Source organism: Homo sapiens, chromosome 3 (assembly GCF_000001405.40).
Source record: "Homo sapiens chromosome 3, GRCh38.p14 Primary Assembly".
Lineage (NCBI taxonomy): Eukaryota > Metazoa > Chordata > Mammalia > Primates > Hominidae > Homo > Homo sapiens.
This window is the reverse complement of record NC_000003.12, coordinates 48,789,763-48,812,513: the sequence shown is the minus strand read 5'-3', so window position 1 is coordinate 48,812,513 and position 22,751 is coordinate 48,789,763. Positions and strand designations below refer to the sequence as shown.

The 22,751-nt window shown below is 42.5% G+C and overlaps 1 protein-coding gene across 9 annotated transcripts in view, besides 1 other annotated feature; it reads left to right on the top strand.

Moving 5' to 3' along the window:
- Positions 1–22,751, top strand: part of PRKAR2A (protein kinase cAMP-dependent type II regulatory subunit alpha) — a 103,284-nt gene that overhangs the window by 35,361 nt on the left and 45,172 nt on the right. For 8 of the 9 annotated variants that reach the window (XR_002959546.2, XM_011533942.4, XM_047448543.1 and 5 more), the window contains exons 2-4: positions 4,830–4,865; positions 18,465–18,517; positions 21,887–21,970. Coding sequence is in view for 8 of the 9 variants with exons in the window: in XM_011533942.4 (XP_011532244.1) it covers positions 4,830–4,865; positions 18,465–18,517; positions 21,887–21,970 (173 nt within the window). In the remaining variant the exon portion in view is untranslated. The remainder of the gene's footprint in view (positions 1–4,829; positions 4,866–18,464; positions 18,518–21,886; positions 21,971–22,751) is intronic. The other variant, NM_001321989.2, reaches the window with a different exon arrangement.
- Positions 15,831–16,031: a silencer, noted in NCBI's record as "peak4644 fragment used in MPRA reporter construct". NCBI's record gives its function as "represses an SCP1 promoter by STARR-seq MPRAs in K562 erythroleukemia cells {active_cell/tissue: K562}" and the evidence as "EXISTENCE:reporter gene assay evidence [ECO:0000049][PMID:32103011]".

Below are 22,751 nucleotides of genomic sequence, written 5' to 3'. Positions count from 1 at the left end.
GAGAGTCTCGAAAAAAAAAAAAAAAAGCTTTTTCTGCTCAAAGTTGCCTGTAACACCAAATGAATAAAGGATGTGGTAAATTATTTTCTTCCTGTTACTACACCTCAGAACCTACTGCGTCATTGCTGCATTGTGTTATAGGATGTGCTTTTTTATTGTTAGTCACAATTAGATTATAAGTTCCATGAGGACAGATGGTTTGTTTTGCTCCCTCCCTAATCTCAATGTCTAGCATATAGTAAATATTTACTAAATGAATGAAAAATGTCCTAGTTTTTTCCTGCTTATTTCTGCATCTCTTTGTTTCTTTTCCTTCCTATTTTCGTTGTACTTAAAATTTACATGACTCATGTTGAAGGACTTTCAATAGTTTTTTTTTTCAGAGCTTTATTGAGATATAATTTATATATCATGAAATTCACCCATTTTAAGTGTACAATTTATTTTTAGTAAACTTACAGACTTGTACAGCTATCACCACACTTTGAGAACATTTTTCACCCCCAAAAGTTCCCTCTTTTGTGTCTATTTGCAGTCACTCCCCATTCCCCCTGCAGCCCCAGCCTACCGCTCATCTACTTTGTGTTTTTCTGGTTTTAACTTCTCTGGGAATTTTACATAAATGGAATCATTCAATATGTGGTCTTTTTTGAGCCTGGCTTACTTTTTACTTTGCATAATGCCTTTTTTTTTAATTGAGGTGAAATTCGGATAACATATAATTAATCTTTTAAAGTGTATAATTTTGTGGCATTTAGCGCATTCACAATGTTATGCACCCACGGCAGCTCTCTAGTTGAAGAATCTTTTCATTCCCTCAGAAGAACAACCTGTACCCAATAAATAATCACTTTTCATTCTCCCCTCCTTTCATCTCCTGGCAACCATCAGTTGGCTCTATGGGTTAACTATTCTGGATATTGCATATAAAAGAAATCATACAATATGTGATTTTTTTGTGTCTGGCTGCTTTTATTTAAATGTTTTTGGGGTTCATCCAAGTTGCATATGTCAGTAATGATTCCTTTTTATGGCTGAAGACAGGGTCTTTTGCTCTGTCACCCAGGCTAGAGTGCAGTGCCATGATTGCAGTTCACTGCAACCTTGACCTCCCAGGCTCAAGCCATCCTCCCACCTCAGCATCTGAAGTAGCTGTGACAACAGGCATTAGCCGCTGTGCCTGGCTAATTAATTTTGTTTGTTTGTTTTTGTAGAGACGAGGTCTTATTATATTGCCCAGGCTGGTGATCATTCCATCTTGGCCTCCCAAAGCACTGGGATTACAGACATGAGCCACTACACCTGCCCCATTTTTTTTAATTTTTAAAGTTAAAATTAAGAGATAGTCTCCCTCTGTTGCGCAGGCTGAAGTGCAGTGGTACAATCATGGTTCATCACAGCCTCGACCTCCTGGGCTCAATGGATCCCCTACCCCAGCCCCCTGAGTAGCTGGGACTCAAGTGCATGCCACCTCGCCTGACTAATTTTTAAATTTTTTGTAAAGACACGGGGTCTTTCTATGTTGTGCGGGCTGGTCTCAAACTCCTGAGCTCAAATGATCCTCCTGCCTTGGCCTCCCAAAATGCTGAGATTATAAGCATGAGCCACTGCACCCGGCCCCTTGTCAATTCTTATAGGACCATTGCATTCATTTAAATGGCTACATAGAGGTTTGTACTATAACTGTACCAATATTCCCTTAATTTCTTTTTCTAGGCAATTTGTTTCTCCCTTTTGAATATTATATATGATAATATAATGATTATGGCGTTTGCATATACACATGTATGTACATATGCACATATACATATATATGTATTTACTGTCAGCCCTTTGTATCCGTGGGTACCACATCTGTGGATTTTTATTTTTTTAATTTAAAAAATTAAAAAAACATTTTTTTAAGAGACAGTTTTACTCTGTCGCCCAGGCTGAAGTGCAGTGTTGCCATCATGCAAATACTTTCAGGAAAAAAATTCCACAAAGTTCCAAAAAGCAAAACTTGAATTTGCTGTGTCAAGTACTACATTAAATCCACAGGAATGAAGTAGTGTATAGGCATATTAGTAGGTATTATAAGTAATCTAGAGATGATTTAAAGTACACAGGAAGATATGCATAGGTTATATGCAGATACTGTGCTATTTTATATTTTTGAGTATCTTCAGATTTTGGTATCCATGGGGGTCTACGGAACCAATTCCCCATAGATACTGAGGGATGATTGTATACACAAATATATGTATATATTCATCTATACGTGTGTGTGTGTGTACACACACACACACATTTATTTCTCTCCACATGTGAGTTTTGTTTAGAACATATTCCTAGAACTGGAATTGTTGCTGGGTTAAAGGCAGTTTACATTTAAAATTTTGACAAAGGCTGTCAAATTATCCTTCTCAATGTTAAGATCACTCTGATAAGTGTGAAGAGAATTGATTGGCAATGGGAAAAAAGGTTTGGAGGCTACTGCAAGTCATCCAAGCAAGAAATGATGTGCCTCAGACTAGGATGATAGTGGAGATCAAGGTAGGTAGACTGATTTAAGAGATGAAGTGGGAGGGAGAACAGATGGAATTGTTAATGAAGTAGATGTGAGTAGTGAAAGGAAGGAGTCTAGAATGACTCAGGTGGATCTGTGACTTCAACTAGAGTTGCTATGTGAGATGAAGCCTACTTGTCATGGCCAGACCAGATGACTTCACAGATACTCTGTAACTCTGACATTTTATGATTTTAGAATTTATGACAGCACCCTTATTTATAGATTGAATGAGATCCATATTGAATACTGTGTCTTTTATAGCAGTAAAGATATAATTTCATTTGATTGGCATTTGTAGAGCAAGCACTGACACATTAAGTCTGTCACTAAACTATATAGTTTTTTTTTTTTTTTTTTTTTTTTTTTTGAGATGGAGTCTTGCTCTGTCACCGAGGCTGGAGTGCAGTGGCGCAATCTTGGCTCACCACAACCTCTGCCTCCCAAGTTCAAGTGATTCTCCTACCTCAGACTCCTGAATAGCTAGGATTACAGGAGTGCGCCACCACGCCCAGCTAATTTTTTTTTTGTATTTTTAGTAGAGACAGGGTTTCACCATGTTTGCCAGGCTAGTCTCGAACTTCTGACCTCAAATGATCCAGCCGCCTCGGCCTCCCAGAGTGCTGGGATTACAATAGTAAGCCACCGTACTTGGCCTAAACTGTATAGATTTTTTCTCATCTCTGGAATCTATTTGTTTTCCTTCTGTTCATAAGCCACACATCTAACCTAAGCCACTACCTTTGTCTATCAACTATAGCCAAAGTGATCTTTATACAATCTAATTTGCAATGACTCATTTTCTCCAGGTACTTTATATTGTAACAGAAGTGCTATGTCCGCTGCTGATCCACTCACAGGGAACATTTCAAAATGGTTCTGCTTGGCCAGGCGCGGTGGTTCACACCTGTAATCCCAGCACTTTGGGAGGCCAAGGTGGGTGGATCACTTGAGGTCAGGAGTTCATGACCAGTCTGGCCAATGTGGCAAAACCCTGTCTCTACTAAAAATACAAAAATTAACAGGCCAGGCACGGTGGCTCACGCCTGTAATCCCAGCACTTTGGGAGGCTGAGGCAGGCGGATCACCTGTCAGGAGTTCAAGACCAGCCTGGCCAACATGATGAAACTCCATCTCTAAAAAAATACAGGCCAGGCGCGGTGGCTCACGCCTGTAATCCCAGCACTTTGGGAGGCCAAGGTGGGTGGATCACTTGAGGTCAGGAGTTCATGACCAGTCTGGCCAATGTGGCAAAACCCTGTCTCTACTAAAAATACAAAAATTAACAGGCCAGGCACGGTGGCTCACGCCTGTAATCCCAGCACTTTGGGAGGCTGAGGCAGGCGGATCACCTGTCAGGAGTTCAAGACCAGCCTGGCCAACATGATGAAACTCCATCTCTAAAAAAATACAGGCCAGGCGCGGTGGCTCACGCCTGTAATCCCAGCACTTTGGGAGGCCAAGGTGGGTGGATCATGAGGTCAGGAGATCGAGACCATCCTGGCTAACACGGTGAAACCCCGTCTCTACTAAAAATACAACACATTAGCTGGGTGTGGTGGCGGGTGCCTGTAGTCCCAGCTACTGGGGAGGCTGAGGCAGGAGAATGGCATGAAGCCGGGAGGCGGAGCTTGCAGTGAGCCGAGATGTCACCACTGCACTCCAGCCTGGGCGACAGAGCGAGACTCCGTCTCAAAACAAAACAAAACAAAACAAAAACAAAAAACCCATCTCTTAAAAAATACAAAAATATAGCCGGGCATGGTGGCGGGCGCCTGTAGTCCCAGCTACGCCGGAGGCTGAGGCAGGAGAATGGCGTGAACGTGGGAGGCGGAGCTTGCAGTGAGCCGAGATCGCGCCACTGCATTCCAGCCTGGGCTACAGAGCGAGACTCCGTCTCAAAAAAAAAAAAAAAAAGAAAGAAAGAAAAAAAGAAAATTTCACTACTTTATATCATAACATTATCAATAAATTTGGTAGACTTCTTATTCAATTGGAATGATACAAATTAGATGGAATATAGATGTGGGCAGAAATAAAATTGCCAGGTTGAATATATTGAAGGTATAGTTTGTTTTCAAAGAAATACTGTATTTCCTATATTGTCTTAATATTATCACATTGAACAACTATTTGTGATTGAGTGTGGAAGACTATGAACTGACCCACTGCTTGGTTTTGAGGGGCTTAGGTCTATTGTAAAAGACTTTTGCAAAAAGGGAGGATAAAAATGCGGCCTGGTGACATAATAATGACTAAATGTTGCTTCTTTATTTTGCAGTTCCAGTTCCTAGCAGATTTAATAGACGAGTATCAGGTATGTGTTCTATTTCATAACATACTTCTAAAATGTTATTTTAAGATAGGAATATATTGAAAAAACAGATATTTTGAATAAAAAGATAAGCTCCCATCACAGAACATTATCTAAAAGTAAAATTACCTATGGTTTCTTTATTCTGTTTTTATTTTAAGTTCTGAGTATGTATGTACGTATTTTATACTATAATTGGTACAGTTTGTCTCTTTGCGTTTATGTCATTACTGTTTTTTCATGTTTATAATTACAGCTTCAAAAAATGATTTTTCATATTCCTTTTTCTGGTATTCTGGCTTATGCTGCCATTAACTCTTACATATACCTTTTTGAGCCACTTGAATTATTTCCTCAGTTTTGGTGCTGGAAGTGGCATTCTCTGGTCAGAGACTGAGCATTGCCTTGGCTTTTTCTGTCTTGTTTTGTAGAGAGAGTCCACAGATTAGGCTACTGGGAGAAAGGCACCCTGTACCTGCCTCTTTTCCACCATTATCTTAATAATATGGAATTTAAATGTAAAATAGTACTTCACATCATTTTATATGGCATTTCTTTTGGTTGTTAAAAAAATGAATGCTGTCCAGGCGCGGTGGCTCACACCCATAATCCCAGTACTTTGGGAGGTCTTGGCGGGTGGATCACGAGGTGAGGAGTTTGAGACCAGTCTGGCTAACATGGTGAAACCCCGTCTCTACTAAAAGTACAAAAAAATTAGCCAGGCACAGTAGCGCGCCCCTGTAGTCCCAGCTACTTGGGAGGCTGAGGCAGAGAATCACTTGAACCCAGGAGGTGGAGATTTCAGTGAGCCAAGATCACGCTACTGCACTCCAGCCTGGGCAACAGAGTGAGACTCTGTCTCAAAAAAAAAAAAGAATGCTTTCCAAATATGAGAAATCTATTTGTATTTTCTTATATGGTACTAGTTTGGTAATATTTTGCCCTTTTATCTGGTATAGTCCATATTATTTTAAAAATAAGTTTGGGTAAACTTTCTATCCAAGTTTTTGACCTTTTGAAATTTTCAATGCAAAATTTCCCTAGGTGGTTATGCTATTTTTTTAATTGAGTTAGAGATGTTAATATATGACTGATAACCTCAAACACTGCTGGACACATAGGCACTCAGTAAATATTTATTGAATATGCACATCATCTTTTTTAAAAAAAAAACAATGATTGTTCCTGAGAAGGCTCCCCTTTTTTCCATAGAGCTGGTAAATATATTTTATGAAAGTTTTTCTTAAAGTGTTTGACTTTTTGATAACTCTGGAATTTATTTGGGAGTACAGTGGAATGTTAATGTGTTTTAAAATTGCTAGGCAAATGGTATGTTCTTTCATATTTCCTTGTTTTAGGAAGGTTTCTTGATTTGAAATTGTCATCTGGCCTATTATAGGGCTAGGAATTGCTTTTCTATCCCTCAATCCTTGTCTTTGAGAAAATCGGCTCATTTATGTTTTCAGAAAGCGTTTATCATTCCACATAAAAATCTGTTGAAAGGAGGTTGAAGAATATGTTATGTTAAGAGAGTCAATATCCTGAGAGTAGGGATTAAGGTTAGTTTGATACCCATGAGCTATTATCTTCCATTTTTGTTCATGTCTGCCCTGCACCTTTTTTTCCTCTGAAAGATTAGTTAAATCCCTTGACATCTGTAGGATAGGTCTGGGAGATGGAGACTATAGTGATACCTCCTCCTGAGGTCACAGTTGGTGTTAGTTTGTTTGGCCCTCTGCCATTGTTGTTCAAATCTTGAACCTTGTAGAAGACTCAGACAAGTACATGGTATTATCCCTCCTCCTTAGATTTTATAATCTTAGGATTTAAAACCTTTTCATATCATTGAAATGTTAAATGAAAATAAAAGATTTTTCAAATAATTCAATAGGATGATACAGGAGAGAAAGTATCCTTTAATAATACGTAACATTTTTTAAGTGCAGACCGTGTGCCAGGTGCACAGTTATAAGGACTTTCTAAATGCCTTCCTTGTATTGTTGAATATAATCTTCAAAATAACACTTTGAGTGAGGCCCATACCATGATTATCCCCAATTTACAGACAAGGAAACTGGGAACAAAGCAGAGGTTAAGTAACTTGCAATAGGTGAGGTGAGCATATGCCCATAGGTAGCATGGATCCTAAGTACCACCCTTGCTATCTCTAAGATTCTTTCTTGCACCCTCTGGAACTCTTGGTTAGTCTTCAGCTAAATCCGCCAAATTCTCACCCTGTTCTCTCAGTGCAGCTTTCACTTTCCAGCTGTAGCTGAAGCTTGGCTTGCCCTGTAGGCTTCTCAAACAATGGCTCTGTCCTCTTCTACCTTCCTTGTAACACTGACAGGAAATGGGTGAATGTCTCTATTGATTCTCTTGGCTGCTTCCAGAGCATTCTCTCTCCCTTCTCCCTGAAAGCTTCTTAAAACTTCGCATTATGGCTGGCCATCGTGGCTCACACCTGTAATCCCAGCACTTTGGGAGACTGAGGTGCGAGAATTGCTTGAGCCTAGGAGTTTGAGACCAGCTGGGGCAACACAGTGAGACCCCATCTCTCAAAAAATTAAAAAAAAATAGCTGGGCATGATGGTGCACACATGTAGTCCTAGCTATTCAGGAGGCTGAGTTAAGAAGATTGCTTGAGCCTGGGAGGTCAATGCTGCAGTGAGCTGTGATCGTTCCACTGTACTCCAGCCTGGGTGACAGAGTGAGATTCTATCTCAAAAAAAAAATTAAAATTAAACTTAACATTATTATATTTTACCAGCCACTGCTTCTCCTTGTTTTAGTCATCTAACAATCCCCAGGTTGTTCCTTCTTATTTCCACATATAGATGATTCTTCCAATGTCTGGCCTTCCATTCTTTGACCTCCTCTCCTCCAAGGATCTTGTCCTCCAGTTGTCCACCCTACTTCAGCCACTCATTCCCAATGGTAATACTCTGGTATGACAAGCATTGCAACTCTTTGTCATTTCAGTGAGTGGTCCCATTCTGCAACCACTGCCTGCTGTCTTCTCACCTCCTTTGCTGTCCTACCCAGACCTGGATAACTTGTTGATTCTGCCGTCTTTTTGCTATTCCCCACTTCTTCCTTACTAACCTTAAATTCCTGAGTCAGTGATTATAATCACTCCCTGGCACATACCCTCAATTTGCTTTCCCTGTTTTTAAATTTTTAATTTTTTTTTTTGAAACAGGATCTCACTCTGTACCCATGTTAGAGTGCAGTGGCATGATCACGGCTCATTGCAGCCTCAACTTCCTAGGCTCCAGTGATCCTCCTGCCTCAGCCTCCTGAGTAGCTGGGACCACAGGTGCACGCTACCATGCCTGGCTAATTTTTGTATTTTTAGTGGAGACAGGGTTTCGCCATGTTGCCTAGGCTGGTCTTGAATTCCTGAGCTCAAGCAATCCACTTAGCTTGGCCTTCCAAAGTGCTGGTTTTACAGGTGTGAGCCACCACACCTGGCCTTACTTTTCCCTTTTTATTTGCTTTGCTAAACCGACTTTGTTAAGTTCAATTCTCCACTTCGTGCCTGTACCAATAATAGCTGAACCTGATTGGAGGAAAATAGATAGCCTTATTGACTGATCTTACTTTCAGTTCATGATTATTAACTTCTAGTAGGCTCTTGATACCAGCAATCATGCTATATTCTCATGCTTTTTTTTTAATAAATTTTTTTGAGACAGAGTCTTGCCTTGTCGCCCAGGCTAGAGTACAGTGGCACAATCTTGGCTCACTGCAACCTCCACCTCTTGAGTTCAAATGATTCTCATGCTTTAGCCTAATTTTTGTATTTTAGTAGAAACGAGGTTTCACCATGTTGGCCAGGCGGGTCTTGAACTCCTGGCCTCAAGTAATCTGCCTGCCTCGGCCTCCCAGCGTAAGCCACTGCGCCTGGCCTTTTAAAATAAATTTTAGGCCAGGCATGGTGGCTCACGCCTGTAATCCCAGCACTTTGGGAGACTGAGGCGAGTGGATCACCTGAGGCCAGGAGTTTGAGAGCAGACTGGCCAAGATGGTGAAACCCTGTCTTTACTAAAAATACTAAAAATTGGCTGGGTGTGGTGGCAGGTGCCTGTAATCCCAGCTACTCAGGAGGCTGAGGCAGGAGAATTGCTTGAACCTGGGAAGCGGAGGTTACAGTGAGCTGAGCTTTCGCCATTGCACTCCAGCCTGGGTGACAAGAGCAAGACTCTAAATAAATAAACAAATAAACAAATAAATAAGAAAGACAGTGTCTCCTTCTATTGCCCAGGCTGGGCTAGAGTGCATTGGTACAATCATAGGTTACTGCAGCCTTGAAATCTTGGGCTTAGGGGATCCTCCTGCCTCAACCTCCCAAGTAGCTGGGACGACAAGTGTGCACCACCATGCCCAGCTAATTTATTTTTTGTAAAGACAAGGTCTCCCTTTGTTGCCCAGGCTGGTCTCAAACTCCTGGTTTCAAACTATCCTCTTGTCTTGGCCTCCCAGTGTTGGGATTACAGGTGTGAGCCACATGCTCCATGCTTTTTTCACTCTTCTGTTCTCCTAGATAAGTCTTTCATACCTTCCCCTTCTCAAAACCTCCTATACCTCCTTCCTCATCCTTAGCAGATGATCTTGTTCTCTATTTAACCAAGGAAATAGGAAAACAGAAGAGAATTTCCAGAATCCCATCACCATATATATTCTTCACTTGCCTGTGAGTTTACGGTATCCACCTGTGCGAGATCCCATCCCTTCATCCTTTTAGCTGTTAGCTCCTCTCCTGCATAATCTTTGATCTTTTAACTCAATTCTTTCAGCAAAGAAACATATCGTTGGCTCTATTTCTTAAAAAATGAACTTTTTTTTGACTGTTGTTGTCTCTCCAACCTTTTTCTCTCCATACCTTTAAAACAAAACCGCGTGAAGTAGCTGTTTGTATTTGTTGTTTCTAGTTGTTCTACTTCTATTCTGAGACTGAGTCTGGCTGTGTCACCCAGGCTGGAGTGCAGTGGTGTGATCTCGGCTCACTGCGACTTCCACCTCCCAGGTTCAAGTGATTCCTGTACCTCAGCCTCTGAGTAGCTGGGATTACAGGTGTGCGCCACCATGCCTGGCTAATTTTTGTGTTTTTAGTAGAGACAAGGTTTTGCCATGTTTGCCAGGCTGGCCTTGAATGCCTGGCCTCTTAAGCCTATTCTAATCAGACTTTTTTTTTTTTCCTTTTAAACTCAGTGGTAAGAATCTAATCAGACTCTTGCTTCTGTATCTCACCAAAATTATCTTTGTTGTTTGCTCACTCACATTCTTCAGACCTTCATTTAAAGGACACCTTTTTCAGGCTGGGCGAGGTGGCCTGTAATCCCACCACTTTGGGAGGCCAAGGCGAGTGGATCACTTGAGGTTGGGAGTTTGAGATCAGCCTGGCCAACATGGTGAAATCCTGTCTCTACTAAAAATAAAAATTTGGCCAGGTGCGGTGGCTCACACTTGTAATCCCAACACTTTGGGAGGCCGAGACAGTGGATCACCTGAGGTCAGGAGTTTGAGACTAGCCTGGCCAACATCGTGAAACCCCATCTCTACTAAAAATACAAAAATAGATGGGCGTGGTGGCAGGCGCCTATAATCCCAGCTACTCAGGAGGCTGAGGCAGGAGAATCGCTTCAACCCGGGAGGCAGAGTTTGCAGTGAACCGAGATCGTACTGTTGCACTCCAGCCTGGGCGACAAGAGTGAAACTCTGTCTCAAAAAAATTAAATAAATAAATAAATACACAAAGTTAGCTGGCACATGCCTGTATCCCAGCTTCTTGGGAGGCTGAGGCAGGAGAATCGCTTGAACTCTGGAGACGGAGGTTATAGTGAACTGAGATTGTGCCATTGCACTCCAGCCTGGGCAACAAGTATTAAACTCCGTCTCAAACAAACAAAAAAATACAAAAATTAGCTGGGCGTGGCTGAGGCAGGAGAATCGCTTGAACCCAGGAGACGAAGGTGGCAGTGAGCTGAGATCGCACCACTGCATTCCAGCCAGTGCTATAGAGCAAGACTCAGTCTCAAAATAAAACAAAATAAAATAAAATAAAGCTGGGCATGGTAGCTCATGCCTGTAATCCGAGCACTTTGGGAGGCTGAGATGGGCTGGTCACCTGAGGTCAGGAGTTCGAGATCAGCCTGGCCAACATTGTGAAACCCTGTCTCTACTAAAAATACAAAAATTTGGCTGGGCATGGTGGCTCACACCTGTAATCCCGGCACTTCGGGAGGCTGAGGTGTGCGGATCACCTGAGGTCAGGAGTTCAAGACCAGCCTGGCCAACATGGTGAAGCTTCGTCTTGACTAAAAATACAAAATTTAGCTGGGTATGGTGGCAGGTGCCTGTAATCCCAGCTACCTGGGAGGCTGAGGCAGGAGAATCACTTGAACCTGGGAGGCAGAGGTTGCAGTGAGCCAAAATCCTGCCATTGTACTCCAGCCTAGGCAACAAGAGCGAAATTCCGTCTCAAAAAATAATAAAAATACAAAAATTAAGCCAGTGTGGTGGCCCACGCCTGTAATCCCAGCTACTTGAGAGGCTGAGACATGAGAATCACTTGAACCCAGGAGGCAGTTTGCAGTAAGCCAAGATTGCGCCACTGCATTCCATTCTGGACGATGAGTGAGACTGTCCGCCTCAGCCAACAAAAAGAAAAGCCGTGCCTGGCTGGGCACGGTGGCTCATGCCTGTAATCCCAGCACTTTGAGAGGCTGAGGCGGGTGGATCACGAGGTCGGGAGATGGAGACCATCCTGGCTAACACGGTGAAACCCTGTCTCTACTAAAAATACAAAAAAAATAGCTGGGTGTGGTGGCGGGCGCCTGTAGTCCAGCTACTCGGGAGGCTGAGGCAGGAGAATGGCGTGAACCCGGGAGGTGGAGCTTGCAGTGAGCCGAGGAGATTGCGCCGCTGTACTCCAGCCTGCGCGACAGAGCAAGACTCCGTCTCAAAAAAAAAAGAAAAGAAAAGCCATGCCTTCCAATTTCTACATTCTAGCAAAACAGTCCCTCTACATCAAGTGATAGAGTAAATGAAGAGTTCATGAATTCCTTAAATGCGGCTTTCTTATGTAGTCCCAAATTAGTGTGTGTGTGTGTGTGTGTGTATATAGTTTTTTTTTTTTTTGAGACGGAGTCTCGCTCTGTTACTCAGGCTGGAGTCAGTGGCACGATCTTGGCTCACTGCAACCTCCACCTCCTGGGTTCAAGCGATTTTTCTGCCTCAGCCTCTCTAGTAGCTGGGACTACAGGCATGCACCACCACGCCTGGCTAATTTTTGTATTTTTAGTAGAGACAGGGTTTCGCCGTATTGGCCAGGCTGGTCTTGAACTCCTGACCTTGTCATCTGCCCGCCTCGGCCTCCCAAAGTGCTGGGATTACAGATGTGGGCCACTGTGCCCAGCCCTCCCAAATTAGTATTAATTATCTTTGAGTTGGAAATGTTAGTATGATTTTATTTAATTTAAAAACCTCCTTTGTCGGCCGACGTGGTGGCTCACGCCTGTAATCCCAGCACTTTGGGAGGCCAAGGCGGGTGGATCACAAGGTCAGGAGTTCAAGACCAGCCTCACCAACATAGTGAAACCCTATCTCTACTAAAAATACAAAAATTCACTGAGTGTGGTGGCAGGTGCCTGTAATCCCAGCTACTCGGGAGGCTGAGGCAGGAGAATTGCTTGAACCTGGGAGGTGGAGGTTGCAGTGAGCCAAGACTGTGCCATTGCACTGCAGCCTGGGCAACAGAGTGAGACTCTGTCTCAAAAAACAAAACAAATAAAAACCTTCTTTGTCAAAAAAAGCCCAACTTTTATTTATTAAATACATGTCGAAACATCAAAGCACATTAATCAGAAATGGGTGTATTGGCATCATGCCACATTTAGGAACAGAATATTTTGACTCTAGTGATGACTGTGACAGGCAGCAGAACAGTCCACTGAGAACCTGGTGCCATGTCAGTCACCTACTTCTGCATTGCAGGTGCTCTTCAGCAGACATCCCTGCCCTTTAAGGCTTATGTGCTTACTATATAATAAAATACTGATTTTTGTCCTTATATTCTTTCATAGTATGCAATATTTTTTTCATCTATAGCTACCTTCAGCTGAAATATTACTAAGTATTGCTTAAAATAATTTAGAAATCCAGTGTTGTGGACTACTTGGTTTCCCCCAAATTCATATATTGAAGTCCTAACCCCAATGTGATTATATTTTTGAGACAGAGCCTTTAAAGAGGTAATGAAGGTGAAATGAGGTCATAGGGTAGAACCCTAATCTAATAGGACTGATGTCCTTCTAAAGTGATCCTCCCATCTAGGCCTCCCAAAGTATTGGGATTACAGGTGTGAGCCACCATGCCAGGCCACTGTGTTGCTATTTTAATCTTCATTTCCTGTAGGTCTTGAGTATTTCATGACACACAATATAATGTTTGAGGTTGCGTAGGGGATCACACAGATTCTGGACCTTCTCCAGGTAACTTGTGTACTGTGGCAAGCAGCCAGATGTGCAGAACCCTTGGGGCAGCAACAATCAAGTAGGTACTGTAAAATGGATTTTTTCCTAGAAAATAAAGGAAGTAATTTAGGACCAGGACTAAGGAGAAGTAAAGAGATTGAGGGGAACAGAGGAAGAGGGCAAAGAGAGGTAAGTCCAGGGTTCAAAAGAAAAGGGAGGCTGGACACGAGGGCTTACGCCTGTAATCCCAGCATTTTGGGAGACCGAGGTGGGCAGATCACTTGAGGCCAGGAGTTCGAGACCAGCCTGGCCGACATGATGAAACCCCATCTCTACTAAAAATACAAAAATTAGCTGGGCCTGGTGGTGTGCGCCTGTAATTCCAGCTACTCAGGAGGCTGAGGCACGAGAATCACCTGAACCCGGGAGGCTTAGGTTGCAGTGAGCTGAGATTGTGCCACTGCATACCAGCATGGGTGACGGAGTGTGAGACTCTCAAAAAAAAAAAAAAAAATTAAAAAGGAAGATTTCATGCACAAAAGTAGAGAAAGTTAGTATAATACCCATGTACCCATTTATTTCCTGAAATGAAGTTTTTTTTTAATGTATTATTCTAAGTAGTTGTTTTGAACTCTTAGACCAAGGAGTAGCAATTGGAATACACTGAATTAAGGTCAAATATGAGAATATTTCTGAAGCAGAATTTGATGTATTCATTGGACAAGAGGTGAGAGAAGAAAGTCTGATTAATTCCAAATTTCTAGTTTAGAAAATTAGTCTGATAATGGCATTAATCAAGAGCACAGAGAACCAAGAAACTTGAAGTTTGACATAGTGTCTGGTTAGATGCCTTTGATGCAGCTTCCCCAGTTTCCTACTAGAATACCCAAGATGATGCAAAAAGTGACAATAGAAATGTCTAGGAGGCTGGGCATGGTGGCTCACACTTGTAATCCCAGCACTTTGGGAGGCCGAGGCCAGTGGATCACCTGAGGTCAGGAGTTTGAGACCAGCCTGGCCAATATGGCGAAACTCCATCCCTACTAAAAATACAAAAATTAGCTGGGTGTGGTGGCGGGCACCTGTAATCCCACCTGCTCAGGAGGCTGAGGCAGGAGAATTGTTTGAACCTGGGAGGCAGAGGTTGCGGTGAGCCAAGATGACGCCATTGCACTCCAGACTGGGCAACAAGAGCAAAACTGTGTCTCAAAAAAGAAAAGAAAAAAGAAATGTCTAGGAACTAAGATAGGTGTCTGCCTTAATCATTAGGGAAGAACTGAGATAATGCACCCTGGCCTCATCTCCTGGAAACAAAAATGCTTGGAGAAAGATAGTGAGTCATTACCTATATCCCATTGTTACTTTCCTGGCTCAGTAACCCAAGGCCCACATTAGCCAGAAACTGGGCCAGCCCTCTGCAGAGCATCACCTAATGCTATTTCAGAGACTAGAATGGTGTATCTTTTCTTAACTCTATCCCCCCTAATTTTTCTCTTATGTGTTTTAGGATATAGGGTCCCTGTTGGGCACTTGGTATCGATGGCATTACTGCACAAGTGGCATGGGCCACACAAGTAGAGTATTATTTGCTAAGGCAGGGATGGGAGAGTCCTGGGTATAGGACACAATGGAAGCCATCATTTCTCAGATCTTTTATTGGTTTAGAGAATCGATGAGGAAAGGGAAGCTGGGGTGTACCTAGACCAGGACTGCAGTGAGTGTCTCTAAGAAACTGGGAAATAACTGGGAGTGGGGCTGGGCGTGGTGGATCACTTGAGGTCAGGAGTTCAAGACCAGCCTGGCCAACATGGTGAAACCCCGTCTCTACTAAAAACATAAAAATTAGCTGGGTGTGGTGGCTTGCACTTGTAGCCCCAGTTACTCAGGAGGCTGAGGCAGGAGAATCACTTGAACCTGGGAGGCAGAGTTTGCAGTGAGCTGAGATCATGTCAACTGCACTACAGCCTGGGCAAGACAGCGAGACTCTGTCTCAAAAAATATAATAATAATAATAATAAAAATAAATAAATTGGGAGTGGTATGTATCAGCCTGTCCCGTAGTTGTAGATACATGGAGTCTTTTAGCCATCACACATAGATTGAGAGTAGGGTCAAGAACTGTTTGTTGCCTGTTAACAGATGATAAATAAATCCTAATAAACAATACAGGGCCTATGAGTGAACTCAGCTGGTTAAGGATATAAGAGGAGTGAAGACTAGAAAGGTCCACTACAAAATGCTCAGTAAACTATAAGAAATCATTGCACTTATGAATTCTGAGCAAAAAGCCAAGGATAAAATTGGCTGAGATGAAATAGAAAATGAGTGTGATAAGATTATAAGGAAACTAAAAAAAAATGAGCAAGAATTAAATACATAAAAAGAGTTGGCCGGGCGCGGTTGCTCACGTCTGTAATCTCAACACTTTGGGAGGCCGAGATGGGCAGATCACTTGAGATCAGGAGTTCGAGACCAGCCTGGCCAACATGGCAAAAAAAAAAAAAAAACCCCGTCTCTACTAAAAATATAAAAATTAGCACTTGTAATCCCAGCTACCTGGGAGGCTGAAGCAGGAGAATCGCTTGAACCTGGGAGGTGGAGGTGGCAGTGAGCCAAGATTACACCACTGCACTCCAGCCTGGGTGACAGCGTGAAGCTCTGTCTTGGGAGCGGGCGGGGCAAACCGTAGAGAAAGCAAAAAGAGCAAAGTTGTAAGGGTAGAAATATGTGATGGAGGTTAGCTGGGAAGAAAGGACAGTTGTTAAAGGAGCTGAAATAGAGAACAGAACCAACATAACAATAATTCTTCTAAAACCCAGAACAAATGGAACCAAGATAATAATGGTAATAGTTCAAGTTGCCTCCTTACTGTGCCTGACACCTGTCTACTTGAATCCTTACAACAGTCTTCAGAGAGAAGTCACCACTGTTCATGCCATTATGCAGAGGAAGGGTGGACATAGGCAATAAATTACCTCTGGTCACACAGCTGTTACAGATCACTGATGATTTATTAGAAGAAAACTTTTCCCAGCTGTAATGGCCTGTATTGTGAAGAGGCAGTAGGTTTGCTTCATTCTGAGAAACAGTAATCACAACTAGTTCATTCTTGGTAAAACAGTTTTCTTAGTAAGTACAAAACTCTTTATTCAGTAGATAATTTATTGTCTCTTTGCAAATAACACATGGGGTGAGATTTTAAAATAATGATTTGTATCGATATCTCCATTTCTAATTCTTCCTCCAGTCCATATTTGTATCCCCCTTCTCACCAGTAAAAAAAATATCTGTGTGTTCGTTTATTTACTCCCTACAGTAATACACATAGAGTTTTGGAATTACAGGTCAGGCGCGGTGGCACATGCCTGTAATCCCAGCACTTTGGGAGGCCAAGGCAGATGGATCACAAGGTCAGGAGATTGAGATCATCCTGGCCAACATGGTGAAACTCCATCTCTACTAAAACTACAAAAATTAGCTGGGTGTGGTTGCACATGCCTCTAGACCTAGCTACTAAGGAGGCTAAGGCAGGAGAATAACTTGAAACAGGGAGGTGGAGGTTGCAGTGGGCCAAGATTGCGCCACTGTACCTCAACCTGAGCGAAGGAACGAGACTCTCTCAAAAAAAGAAGAGTTTTGGAATTGCTATACCATCACCAACATCAGTTGTTTTTTGTTGGAATGCAGTATATCCCACTGAGGGTGGATGGTCAGATTACTATGTTCAGAAGCTACTTAGAATCTGATTCTTTCCTTCTCTAATTATGTTATCACCCCGATATATGGGTAGGTTTTTTTTCTTTGTACTTCGTTTTAGGGTCCTTCTTATCTATCTAATTTTTAAAATATGTGAAAAATTAACATGACTTAAATGTCAAAACTTTTTATATAAAAATGTTTCCTCAGGCTAGTCGCGGTGGCTCACGCCTGTAATCCCAGCACTTTGGGAGGCCGAGGCGGGTGGTTGAGGTCAGGAGATCGAGACCATCCTGGCTAACACGGTGAAACCCTGTCTCTACTAAAAATAAAGAAAATTAGCCTGGCATGGTTGCAGGCGCCTGTAGTCCCAGCTACTCTGGAGGCTGAGGCCGGAGAATGGTGTGAACCTGAGAGGCGGAGCTTGCAGTGAGCAGAGATCACGTCATTGCACTCCAGCTTGGGTGACAGAGCGAGACTCCGTCTCAAAAAAAAAAAAAAAGTTTCCTCAGAGAAGTTTCATTCCTTTCCCTATCCCTTCTTTCCTGTTTCTTTCTATACACTAGAAAATAATTTCATTACTTTCCGGTTTATTCTTCCCAAATTGTTTCCTTTTGGAAAAATTAACCAGTAAAAGTATATTATATTTATTTTCCCTCCATTCTTAGCTCTCCTTTCTCATGGAAGTCCTTTCTTCTGCAAGGGATAGCATGCCATATATACTCTTCTTCACCTTGCTTTTTTTCCCTTTATGTCTCCCACAACTTACCCTCTTTTCATTTTTTTTGAGACGGAGTCTCATTGTGTCAACCAGGCTGGAGTGCAGTGGCATGATCTCGGCTCACTGCAACCTCCGTCTCCCAAGTTCAAGCGCTTCTGCTGCCTCAGCCTCCCGAGTAGCTGGGACTACAGGCGCACACCACCACGCCCAGCTAATTTTTGTATTTTTAGTAGAGATGGGGTTTCACCATGTTGACCAGGATGGTCTCGATCTCTTGACCTCATGATCCATCTGCCTCAGCCTCCCAGAGTGCTGGGATTATAGGCATGAGCATTTATATTATACATCAGGTGGATATACATCAGGTGGATCACCTGATGTCAGGAGTTTGAGAGCAGCCTGACCAACATGGTGAAACCCCATCCCTACTAAAAATACAAAATTAGCCAGGCATGGTGGTGCATGCCTGTAATCCCAGCTACCTGGGAGGCTGAGGCAAGAGAATCGCTTGAACCTGGGAGATGGAGGTTGCAGCGAGCCGAGATTGTGCCACTGTACTCCAGCCTGGGCAACAAGAGCAAAACTCTGTCTCAAAAAAAAAAAAAAGAAAAGAAAACAGTGAATAAAAGAAAATTGAGTTCACTTCCTATTTTTCCTAAAGCCACACATCTGTTAAATTCATTCTTTTTGTTTTTTTCTCTCCAATTTTAGTCTGTGCTGAGACCTATAACCCTGATGAGGAAGAGGAAGATACAGATCCAAGGGTAAGACCCAAAGCAAAGATGTTAGGTAGAATTGTTCTATTTCTCATTAACTCCCCTTCTCTACATACCAAAAACTCATCATGCTAATAATTAAATACAAATTAAAATATCACTGAAGTGACATTTTTAATCTAACAAATTGAAAGTTGCATTGGTTGAGGGTATGTGAGCAATGCCTAGCTGTAGCTGTCAGAAGCCTTAAACAGGCTGGGCGTGGTGGCTCACACCTGTAATCCGAACACTTTGAGAGGCTGAGGCAGGAGGATTGCTTGAGGCCAGGAGTTCAAGACCAGCCTGGACAATATAGCAAGACCCCATCTCTGTGGGGAAAAAAAAATTAGCTGGTTTGGTGGCATGTGCCTGTATTCACAGCTACTTAGGAGCCTGAGGCAGGAGAATTGCTGCTTGAGTCTTAAAAAAAAAATGCTGGGCATGGTGGCTCACACCTGTAATCTCAGCACTTTGGGAGGTTGAGGTGGGAAGATCAGTTGAACCCCAGGAGTTGAGACTAGCCTGGGCAATGTAGTTAGACCTCATTTCTGTTAAAATAACAACGACAACAACAACAAGCCTTAAATACTTACAGTCAGGCCAACTGATTTAGCATTTACCTAAAGGAGAATTTATCCCCAATGAAAGTTGGATCCTTCCTGAGGATGTACAAATGGAGTTTATCATAGTATTATAACAATGAAAAATGGCAACAACTTAAATGACCCAAAATATGGGATTACCAGGGCCTAAATTATGGTACATTCAAATGAAGAGAATCTGTAGCCATTGAAAGTGATGGTACAGGACAGTATGTAATGGCATGGGATGTATGTTTGTGTGAGGTGTATTTTATAGAGCATTTCGTAAATTAAAAAATTTGAAATATATATATTTATTTGTATATATGTATGTATATATAGAAAATTCTGTCTGGAAGGATATACCCCAGATGTTAACAGTGGTTGTGGCAAGACCATGTTTGATTTTTGGGTGCTTTTAAAAAAAAAAAAAAACTTAGTGTTTTAAACTTCTGTACAATTGACATAAATTACGTTTGTTTGTTTGTTTGTTTTTGAGACAGAGTCTCGCACTGTCGCCCGGGCTGGAGTGCAGTGACGTGAATTCGGCTCACTGCAACCTCCGCCTCCTGGGTTCACGTGATTCTCCTGCCTCAGCCTCCCAACATAAATTACTTTTATGAGGGCATATATGAGCTATCATTTTTAAAAGATTGATGTTATAGGTTGGGTGTGGTAACTCACGCCTGTAATCCCAGCACTTTGGGAGGCCGAGGCGGGTGGATCACCTGAGGTCAGGAGTTCGAGACCAGCCTGGCCAACATGGCGAAACCTTGTCTCTACTAAAATACAAAAATTAGCTGGGTGTGGTGGCAGGCGCCTGTAATCCCAGCTACTTGGGAGGCTGAGGCAGGAGAATCGCTTGAACCTGGGAGGCCGAGGTTGTGGTGAGCTGAGATCACGCCACTGCACTCCAGCCTGGGTGACAGAGTGAGACTCCATCTCAAAAAAAAAAAAAAAAAAAAAAAAGATTAAACCTTTAGTGGGCCAGTCACGGTGGCTCACACCTGTAATCCCAGCACTTTGGGAGGCCGAGGCAGGCGGATCATGAGGTCAGGAGTTCGAGACCAGCCTGACCAATATGGTGAAACCCCATCTCTACTGAAAATACAAAAATTAGCCAGGCGTGGTGGCACCCGCCTGTACTCCCAGCTACTCAGGAGGCTGAGGCAGGAGAATCACTTGAACCTGGGAGGTGGAGGTTGCAGTGAGCCAGAATTGCGCCACTGCACTCCAACCTGGGCAACAGAGCGAGACTCCATCTCAAAAAAAAAACCAAAACTTTAGTGATCTATTATGTTACCCTTAAATCAAGTTACTCTTAAAATGAGTAACTTATGAAAGATTTCTGAAGTATTCTAATAAACGCTACCATTTTTGTGAATGTAAAAATCATGTAATTTTTTTATTCTAGTTATTGTAAAATTATTGATGACTGTGAAACAGTTTTTTTCTAATTTAATATCACAAATTAAAAATATTTAACACTATCTTTTTTTTTTTTTTTTTTTTTTTTTTTTTGAGACAGAGTTTCGCTCTTGTTGCCCAGGCCGGAGTGCAATGGCCTGATCTTGGCTCACCACAACCTCTGCCTCCTGGGTTCAAGCGATTCTCCTGCCTCAGCCTCTCGGGTAGCTGGGATTACAGGCATGTGCCACCATGCCCGGGTAATTTTGTATTTTTAGTAGAGATGGGTTTCTTCATGTTGGTCAGGCTGGTTTCGAACTCCTGACCTCGTGATCCACCCACCTCGGCCTCTCAAAGTGCTGGGATTACCTGGGATTACAGGAGTGAGCCACCATGCCCAGCTTTTTTTTTTTTTTTTTTTTTTTGAGACGGAATCTTGCTCTGTCGCCAGGCTACAGTGCAGTGGTACGATCTTGGCTCACAGCAACCTCCAACTTCCTGGTTCAGACGATTCTCCTACCTCAGCATCCCGAGTAGCTAGGATTACTGGCATGCGCCACCATGCCCAGCTAATTTTGTGTTTTTAGTAGAGATGGGGTTTATCCATGTTGGTCAGGCTGGTCTCAAACTCCTGACCTTGTGATCCGCCTGCCTCAGCCTACCAAAGTGCTGGGATTACAGGCGTGCGCCACCACGCCCAGCCCTTTTTTTTTTTTTTTTTTTTTTTTTTTTAAGATGGAATCTCTCTCTGTCGCTAGGCTGGACTGCAGTGGCACAATCTTGGCTCACTGCAACCTCCGACTCCATGGTTCAAGCGATTCTCCTACCTCAGCCTCCTGAGGAGCTGGGATTACAGGCACGCGCCACCATGCCCAGCTAATTTTTCTATTTTTAGTAAAGACAGGGTTTTACCACGTTGGCCAAGATGGTCTCGATCTCCTGACATCGTGATCTGCCTGCCTCGGCCTCCCAAAGTGTTGGGATTACAGGCATGAGCCACCTCGCCCGGCCAACACTTTTAACATCTATTATTTCTGGTCAGATTAAAAGATGTACTTTTTCTTTTTTTTTTGAGTCGATGCTCAATATTTGTTTAATGAACAAATTTATAACCCTCTGCTTTATGGATGAAGATCCTGAGACTCCCAGGGAACAGCTGACTTGCTGCCAGCCATGTAGTCGGCAGGTAGCTTCAGGGTTGGTGCTTTTCACCCCTATATTACATTGCCTCTCCACCTTTAGCATGCAGCTTGATATTTATGTAAAATTAAAATAACAGAAACCATGCTCTTTATTTTTCCCACTTTTTGGAGAAACAAATATACCAATCTTTAAGTGGTTATTTTAAAATGGAATAAAACAGTTTCCATGGTTTTATTTGGATTGGCAGGTGATTCATCCTAAAACTGATGAACAGAGATGCAGACTTCAGGAAGCTTGCAAAGATATTCTCCTTTTCAAAAATCTTGATCAGGTAACATTGATTTCTAAAGTATTTTTATTATAATGATCTTTTAGCTTTGCTCCTATTTGTCACTTAAACTTTAATTTTTAGCACCCTAGCCACAGCCGTGTTAAGCATAAAACCTTAGATTCATCTTACATACAGATGTTTTCATTGTATTGACCACTTTAACCCAGGCATGATCTTTCAGATGCCTTTTAGTGTGGTAGTCCCCCTTATCCTTGGTTTTGCTTTCCAGGGTTTCAGTTACCCATAGTCAATGACAGTCCAAAAATACTAAATGGAAAATTCCAGAAATAATTCCTAAGTTTTAAAAGGCATGCCATTCCGAGTAGTGTGATGAGTCTCATGCTGTCCTGCTCTACTGCCACCCAGAACGCAAATCATCACTTTGTCCCCGTGTATTCATGCCATATATGCCACCTGCCCATTAGTCACTTAGTCACCATATAGCAGTACTCATATTCACGTAACCCTTATTTTACTTAATAATGGCCCCAAAGCACAAGAGAAGCAATGCTGGCAATTCGGATATGCCAAAAATAAGCCATAAAATTCTTCCTTTAAGTGAAAAGATGAGAGAAACTTAAGGAAAGAAAGGAAGAAAGAGAGAGAGAAAAGAAAGAAAAGAGAGGGAGAGAGGGAGAGAAAAAGAAAGGAAGAGAGAAAGAAAAGGAAGAAAGGAAGGAAGGAACAAAAGGAAGGGAGGGAGAGAGGGAGGGAGGGAGAAAGAAATTGTATGCTGAGGTTGCAAAAATCTATGGTAAGAATGAATCTTCTGGCTGGGTGC